At 40.3% G+C, this 9,302-nt stretch overlaps 1 annotated feature.

The window, feature by feature from the left end:
• Positions 409-576: a silencer, noted in NCBI's record as "fragment chr1:181960367-181960534 (GRCh37/hg19 assembly coordinates)". NCBI's record gives its function as "represses an EF-1alpha promoter that drives an FKBP-Casp9 reporter gene in an ReSE screen in HepG2 liver carcinoma cells {active_cell/tissue: HepG2}" and the evidence as "EXISTENCE:reporter gene assay evidence [ECO:0000049][PMID:32094911]".

The raw sequence follows: 9,302 nt of genomic DNA on the forward strand, positions 1-9,302 counted from the left end.
AAGTTTGAAAGATCTCATTTATGTCAAGTCCAAATACCAGATGGAGGAGTAGTGACTGACTGCAGAGTGGAGTAAGCCCAGCCCACATGCCTACAGCAGAAAGGTAACTTGCCCAATGGGTTCCTGGGAGGACTTAGCATTTGGAAGACCCAGGCACTGCCAAAGATGAGGATGAGGCATAAGACTAAAAATAGAGGGCTTGGTTGAAATCTGTATGTAGTTGGATCCTCCCAAATCCCCTTCTCAAAACTACACAGGCTGGGCACGGTGGCTGAAGCCTGTAATCCCCAGCACTTTGGGAGGCCGAAGCAGGCGGATCATGAGGTCAGGAATTCAAGACCAACCTGCCCAATTCGGTGAAACCTTGTCTCTACTAAAAATACAAAAATTAGCTGGGTATGATGGTGCACGCCTGTAGTCCCAGCTACTCGGGATGCTGAGGCAGAAGAATCGCTTGAACCTGGGAGACAGAGGTTGCAGTGAGCCGAGATTGAGCCACTGCACTCCAGCCTGGGTGACAGAGCAAGACTTCATCTCAAAACAGCAACAACAAAACAAAAACAAAAACAAAAAAACTGCACAACCAGATGACTAACCCTGCAAAAGATCAGAAGTTGATTCTCTAACAAAATCGAATAAGGCTTCCAAATGTGGGGACACCAGGCATTGAAAATGCAGAATTTAGTGAAAGTTTGCACTTTAAATAATGAGACTCTTCCCACACCTTGCCCTCACAATACAGACGTATATATGTGCCATCCCACCTCCCAAAATATTGGAGGATTATTCTATTTGGATATTGAATAGCCCCCAAAGGATTTCGTGTACTGACACATGTGGGTCTCTCAATAAAGAGCTAACCCCTGCTTAACGGGCTACAAGACCCATCCATGCTTACGAAATTTTGTATCAAATTTTTAATACCTTATTTTTAAATTGAATGGTCAAAAAGCATAGGATACTTAAGGAGAGCCTCTAACATCCAAAAGAGAAACAACAAACAGGAAAAAGGAATTAGAAGAAAAACAGATTATACCAGCAAGGCATTATTATAATACTGAGAGGAGAAAAAATACTGCATTCATGAAGCAAGACAGAATGCCATGAACAAAAGAAAAAGCATTGTATTAAAATATAATAGGCTATGCTGTAGCAACACTCAATTTTCAATGATTGAGGACAACTAAAGTTTATTTCTCATTTATAGCAAGTCCAAAGCAATTATAAGTTGTTCTCCTTTATCTGGAACTCAGAGATGCAAGCTCCCTTGATTTTAAGACACCACCATTTTTACATGTGGCTTACAAGGACACCAGAGCAGGAGGCAAGAGGGATGGACCCAGGCACAGTAGCTTTTACCTGCCTCAGCCTGAAAGTGACTTATGTCACTTCTTCTCACAGACCACTCACCAGAACTAGTCACATGGCTCCAATCTAACGAAAGCCAGGAAATGTAGAAAAGCACATGGAATATTTGTTGAGCTCCACATGTCTGCAACAGGAACTATCAGAGAACAAGAAAGAGCTCATGAAAATGAATAATGATAGCTGAAATTAAAGATTCAGTAGAAAATGTAGAAGATAAACTTGAGAAAACCTATCAGGAGATACAGTTGACCCTTGAACAACACAGGTTTGAACTGGGAAGATCCACTTATGAGCAGATGGAAAATATAGTATTTGAGGAATACAAAAGGTGCTTACACTTTTTCTGTATGCAGATTTCAAAAGACCAACTGTGGAACTTGCATATATGTGAATTTTGGCATACAAGGGGGTCCTGAAAACGATCCCCTGTGCATCCTGAGGGATGACTATACATTTTTAAATCACAGAGAAACTTAAAGAGGTTTATAATCCATCCAATTATTAGGAATTATGAAGATTGCAGACAAAAAGAATGGGAAGAAATTTTCTATAAATACCAAAAAATCATCCACAAACTAAAACATGCAAGTCTCCAAATTAAAAAGGTCCACTAACACAGACACTCACCCTTTGGGCAAAAGCTATGATGAGGAGTCATGTGACACATGACCCAACAGCCTGTGGTTGAAACAACAAACCATCAGAGGTATGGCCTGCACTTGGTTTAATGGAAGGAAGCGGGATGACTGGCAAGTACCTTGCAGAGCCTGTTTAGTTTAGTATAAGGTGTCATGCCTTTTGTTTATCACTTAACTTTGTATAATAATTGTATTTCCATGGAACTTGATGACCTTCACAACTATTACATTTATTGGTTACAAATATCCTATACAACAGACACGCCATATTTTACTTAACCCTCCCACTAGTTAGACTTTAATGTTGCTTCCAATCTTTTATTGTTCTAAATAAGATCGTTGTGACTATCTGAGTAAAGTTTTAAATGATTTCTTTAGGAGGGGCACCCTAAAGCTGTAAAGAATGGGAGCAAACCTTATTACATTTCCATGATTCTTGGTGGATTTTACAGAAATCAACTTCTACAATTATTATACCAACTTCTAACGCATGCAAGCATAAATGCACATGCAGTCATTGGCATTGTTTTTATTGAAAAATATTTTGCTAACTTAGGAGGAAATGGATTTGTATACATTTCTGTATATTTGCATATAATTTCATTTTAATGAATTATCTGTCTGTAAACATCACTTATGTATCCATTCAGTGCTTAGTGCTTTTCCTATTACTTTGTAGAAATACTCTATATTGATCCATCAGTTACTTATTTGCCTTTTAATAGATCTGTCCTTAAAATCTTTAAATCAGTTGATCCCCTTTTAATGATTACTACTAATCATATATTTCTCTAGAAATTTCACAATTACTTGTTTCACTGTGATTAAATTTTGTAAATGCAGGTCCTTAGTAAAATATGCTCAGTATTATTTGATGAGTGCCTCCTACATTTCAGGCATTGGAGGTACAAGATGAGCAGAAATGGTCCTGCCTCCAGCAGTTTACAGAACTGATGCTTCCTACAAATTGTTAATCCCAGCTCCATCACTGAGCAGAATGCTTTTCCCACTGCTGTCTCATGTAAAAAATTCTTATATGTAAATGCATTCTATTTTTAGCTGTTTTTCCTGTTTTTTCTTGTGTAAGAACTATAGTTTTAATTATTGTAATTTGTTTTGACATCTGTGAATTTAAGTTTTTCCTGTTTTTCATTATTTGATGTTCTTTTTTTTTTTGTAGAGACAGGGCTTCACCATGTTGTCCAGGCTGGTTGTGAACTCCTGGCCTCAAGCGATCCACATATCTTAGCCTCCCAGAGTACTGGTATCACAGTCATGAGCCACTGTGCCTGGCCAGATGTTCATTTCTTTAAACAAATATTAAAAATCATTTTTTCAAGTCCCCAAATATTGGAATTTTTATGGGACGTGTATTAATGTCAAGTAGGTAGAAAATAGTTGAAGTCCTTACATTATTTGGATGTTTCAATTCACAGTATGGTAGGGTTCTCTATTTATAAAGTTTATAGTTTTTTTTTTTATTTTTTTATTGAGACGGAGTTTCACTCATGTTGCCCAGGCTGGAGTGCAGTGATGTGACCTCGGCTCACTGCAACCTCTGCCTCCCGGGTTCAAGCGATTCTCCTGCCTCAGCCTCCTGAGTAGCTGGGATTACAGGCGCCCACCATCATGCCTGGCTAATTTTTGTAGTTTTGGTAGAGACGGGGTTTCACCATGTTGGTTAGGCTAGTCCTGAACTCCTGACCTCAGGTGATCCACCCGCTTTGGCCTCCCAAAGTTCTGGGATTACAGGTGTGAACCACCACACCCGGCCTTTAAGTTTATAGTTTAATACTTGTTGAGTATCTGGCAAAGTGTTGCCTGTTGTTTAATAGTGCTTAATATTGTCTTTGTGGTATTGTATCCAAGTTCAATGATGAGAGAATAAAAGGCCAACTTATGAACAAAGGAAAATAAAGGTAGGTGTGAGTACTACATTTATCTTTGTAACTTTTAATAAACCAGTTAAATATCCTAAACTTTTATACCTTTTTAATAGTTTTAGACTCTTGCAAAGTTATTGGATTTTGTTTTGTTGTTGGTTTATTTAACATTCAGAGGTGTGTGTGTTTTATGGCATGCAGGGGTGGCAATGTCTGCCAGTGATATCTTGAGATTCAGAGATAATATTAACCAACTGAGAAGAAGGGCTGCAGTTTATACTTGTTGATTCTGGTGGAATCCTGAGACCTGTCCACCTATTGCTAACTAAAAAGCATTTTGTAACTCAGTGGCCTAAGACAAAAATAATTTACTGTTGCTCATATTCAGTTTGTCAACTGGGGTTCAGCAGATCTGGACTGGGCTCTGCTTCTCACTACAGCTCTACAGATCAGCTGGCAGGGTAAGAGGAGGCAAGGTCTGCTTTAAGCTGCCAGTGGTGGGAGCAGATTTGTATCACATGAGTCTTATCCTCCCTACCCTGGGCATGTCCTTCTCATGGCAAATGGTGAAAGTGCAAGAGAGCAAATGGAAATGCAAAGCAAGCAACAGGACTAAGCCCAAAGTCAAGCCCCACTCACAATGAGGCCATGACAAGGATGTGAATGCAGTGAATGGGGCAGAGAATGCAGATAATGGGGCAAAGAATTGGGACCAATGATACCACGAACTCATGTAGGAAAGAAGGAACTGGAGAGGAAAGATCCATAAGACCAAGGGAAGATTGGGATACGAGGAAGTAGAGAAGTAAGACAAGCACTCTGTAAATAGTTAAGCCTACAGGAGATCAGTGGGGTTTCTGCTATCATCTAGGCAAGGAGTTCAGGACATGGAAAAGGAGTGATGACAAGAACTTCATCAATTCTTAACTTCTTCCAAGTCTGTGACCCAGTAGTAAAGAGCACTACAACCTTTTAAACAAAAGGCTATGTGTTTGTTCTTGGGGACTGCAAGAAGGCAGCTGTAGTCTTTTTGTAGAGACTCACTCTGCATTCAGTCACAGGAAAGTACTTTACACAATTAAAATGGAGACTGGTTGAGATTAACCTCTTTTCAGATTGCTTCTGTTCTGGGCTGCTGGCCTTAGGTGGCCTTCTGGGGAGGGTAAAAATCCTATGCAGCAGTGGAGCTCTCCCCTGCTCCATTTCTTTTCCTCCTGGTGATATATCCCTGGAATGTTTTGGAGAAGTTTAAGGATCTGTGTGAACATGAGGGAGAGGAGTAGATTCTCAAAGACTTGGTATAATTCAGATTAGATTTTCCCTCTCTCTGTGCAGAGATTTTGCTCCCTCTCAGTCTTCTCCTAAAGCTGGACTCAGGAAGAGCCAGCTGGCAAACAAGCTTTTAGGGGGAAGAAAGATTATACTTTCCAGTCAGAATAGGGGGAGTTTCTGGTTCCCCACATTTCTCCACAAAGCTTAAATCTGTTTTTATCCCCAACTGTGAGTCATACTTATTGTTTGTAAGGTATCTATTTTAAACCATTTAAAAACAAGATTTGATATATTATAAGCTCTTACCGAAATGTATAAATTTGTTAATTGGCATGATTATTTGAAAGCCCTGCTTAATAGTAGAAATTTAAAGTAATCTACTAGCTACTTACATTCTCACTCTACTCTACAACCCAAAATGTAATCAGACACCCAACCCATTTTAAGAAATTAACTCTATGTCTAATTGGTCTATTTAAAAATTCCCAAGTTCATGAATTCATGAATGTCTTTCATGAAAGACATAGGTACTCTTGGGGAAGATAATTTTGTCATAAGTTTATGATAAGTAATGATACCACATCCAGCACAGCAGTTGCAATTAGGAATACTATTTGGTTTCATATTTAATAATCCAATATTGTTCATAATTCATCTGTTTGCAGGGACCAAACTGGTGAATTAAAGGGGAATGCAATGAAGACAATCATACCTGCATCCTTTGGATCTCAGGGTGGCGCTAATCTCTGCCATTCTTTTGTGATAAAATATTTTTAGTCTTGGTGTGGGCAGAAAGGGGACAGGTGGTGTGAAGTTTCAGGGGTTTCCACTTAATCTTCTCTACTACAGGACTTCTTACTGTATACATCAAGAAATGAATGTGAGGTTTCCACCAAATGCTAAATATGTCTCTTCCAATTACCAAGCTTGGAAGCAGGAAAATGAGCACAGCGTGGGACTGTGACCCATTGGATCCACCGTGAGGTGGATCTGGGCCAAGATTCCATTTGCTGTCTCAGCCGCAAATGTGCCCCTACTCTAACAGCGGTGCCACGTTGGTGCTCTGAGCCCCCTGGGTATCAGCATCAACCCAAAATATGTATCTAATAGCTCTAGAAAGATCTGGGTAAATGGTCAAAGATTTTTTTGGGGCGGAAGATTGGAGAAATAACTACCATCTACAATTGCCATGGTGTTGCAGCATTCTTTCTCATAGGGACCTGGCCTCTCCTTCAGTAAATGGGTTCTAACCAGAGAGCCAAAAACTGATTAGGAGATTATGACTTTCTACAGAAGTGGCTGACTTCAGCCTTCTACCCAACCATTCTTGATCTCTTGATTATATATAATAAGCAGTACCCTTTTTGGCTGTCCATTTATTTTGTCCCTAGGAACACCATGTTCTAGCCATCTCCTTTGATATCTGTAGGTTAGGCCTCTCTGGCTGCCATCCTGAGCCTGCTGCCCATTATGGTTATTACACCCACCTTGCTTCTGACAGTTAAGTGCTGCCACCTGACTTGGTTTTCCAGACTTCTATCATCTCCGTTGTTATTAGGCACCCAATTCTGTAACCGCATGCCCTACCACCAGAACTGGCTTACAAAAGACAGCTACTGCTGAGGTTTTCAATGATGCTGAAGCCCCCTCACCAGTGCATTTCTTTCTAAATGGATTGCCCTGTGAGTTCTCTTAAGAATTTGGTCATCTAGTGGTTTTCTTGCCTTATTTAGCAGATGTAATCCAGCATACCCACTTCTCTGAAATTTCTAATACCTTCTCCATTATTTGTCACAAAAGTTCCTGCATTTTTACTTCACTTTGCTTCATTGCCTTTTTCAGTCTTCCAAAATGTTTCCTAGCATCAGCTTGAGTCACCTCCCAAGTCCTTGCTAGGGAATTAGCTTACAGCAGTGGTGGAGTGCCCCAAATCTCCAAGCTTTCCCTTAACAAACTTATACTCTGTTCCCTTTGGTTAGGCACTCCTAGGGTCCTCTCTTAGACACACTCTCTCAGCTTCTGCTTAGTAAGTTTTCTCTAGGTCCTGAGGTTCCTTGAACAAATAATGTCATCTTCCATTACGAAGGCCCAGCACTTTTCTGATTGAGCTGAGATTTGATGCTAGTTACGCATCAGGTGGCTAAGAGGGGAAGTGGGGGTATATCCTGAAGAGGACCCTTCATGGTCTTGTAAGGCCTTATTTGAAGTCTGTTTATAGTCTTCAAGCAAGGTGGAGAATGGGGGACAATCTTCAACAATGGAGAATAGGCCATTTCTTCAGGAACGGGGAGGGTTCAGGGGAAATTAAAGTTCGAAGTGCATATATGCAAAGATCTATTCCAAGAGTCAAAATCACATGCTTTCCCTATTAAGATCATGACTTTGGCTTAAGAGACTTGCCTAGCCTGAGAGCTCTGCCTTCTCAGAGTTTTGCACTATTGCAATCAAGTCCTGTGCCCCCACCCCATTCCAGCTGCAGGAATTGAAGCCTTCTACTCTCATGCTTTGTATTAAAATTTTGACTAATTTATCTGAGTCTGTAATTTTCTCTCAACTACTCATTCAACTCCAAGTAACTTATAACTATTTTCCCTCATTTCTCAAATGCCTGAGACACTGCACCAGACATTCCACCCAAACCCACACCAGCTCATTACAATGGAAATCTTAGCAATCACACTGTATAGCATACCAGGGATTAATTCTCCACCTACCTCCACCAGTGGGGTCCTCATTGCCATCCAGCCAGCAAGTGAATTAACCCTAGAATCCATCTCCAATGCCAGTTGTCTTAAATTGGTTTCCTAAGCAGTGAGGACTGAGATGAAGATTCTTATGCTTGATTGGGAAAGTGCTCCCAGGATAAGAGGAGTGAAGGCAGCAGGACAGGACAGGAATAGGAAACTTAAACAAGAGTGTGGTCACGGCTGAAGACTAGTTTTGGTTTGATTCTACAGGGAAGCGCAAGTTGCACCACATATTAAGCCCACTTTGAGGTAGCGGGTAGAGAGCTCGGTGGGCAGGCTTTTGTACTACTGTGTCTGTTACAATTGGCTGTCCTGGGAGGTGGGGGGGTTTCCTCCCAGGAAAGGAGGCTTCTGTTTGGCTGAAGGCTAGTTCCTAGTGGAGGCACAGCTGAGAATTATCAGCAGCCAACACAAACAACAGCAACCAGGAGATATAAAGAGGCCTATAAAGAGGATCTAGGTGGAGTACAAAGCTAATCCTTTACACTAATGAGTATGTACTATATGATAAGCTTTCTTTCCTTTTTTTTTTTTTTCTTCAGACAGAGTCTCACTCTGTCACCCAGGCTGGAGTGCAGTGGCATGATTTCGGCTCACTGCAACCTCTGCCTCCTGGGTTCAAGCAATTCCCCTGCCTCAGCCCTCCGGAGTAGCTGGGATTACAAGCGTGTGCCACCACACCTGGCTAATTTTTAGTAGAGATGAGGTTTCACCATGTTGACTAGGCTGGTCTCGAACTCCTGACTCCAAGAGATCCACCTGCCTTGGGCTCCAAAAGCACTGGGATTATAGGTAGCCTAATGATAAGCTTTTTAAAAATTGACTCTGTCATTTAAACTTCACAACAATTCCATGAAGGAGGTATTATGATTGTATCCATTTTAGAGACAAGGAAAATGAATCCTGAGAATTCAAGTGACTTTCTCATGGTTATACAATGAAGGGCCATGTATTCAGGTGTAATAATATCATAGATAAAAAGGCATATCTCAGTTTCTGCATGTTTTAAATGGGTACATGCAGAACCTATCTCTGTTTATATCTTAATGTAGGGACACTAAGGTTAGCCAACTGGATTCATATCCTGGGTTTTAAGTGCTTTACAATAATAGTGCCCTTAGAATTCAATTGTGAATCTTATTCCCTAAGTATTGTTGATCTTACGTATTGGTTTTATGTGTGTGTGTATCAACTCAGTTACTGGCAATATTCAATTAATTGAAACACTATATTTACCAATTACCTTGGATAGTCATTGTTAAAAATTACTAGGAAATTCTCCATTAAGTAATAAAAAGGCCAGAAAACAAGTCTCCATACGGGATTAATAATTTATTTGGCTTTGGGCTGTGTGTTAAGCACTTTACATCCATTTTCTCATTATGAAGTAAGTA

The sequence above is a fragment of the Homo sapiens genome, chromosome 1 (genome assembly GCF_000001405.40).
Source record: "Homo sapiens chromosome 1, GRCh38.p14 Primary Assembly".
NCBI lineage: Eukaryota > Metazoa > Chordata > Mammalia > Primates > Hominidae > Homo > Homo sapiens.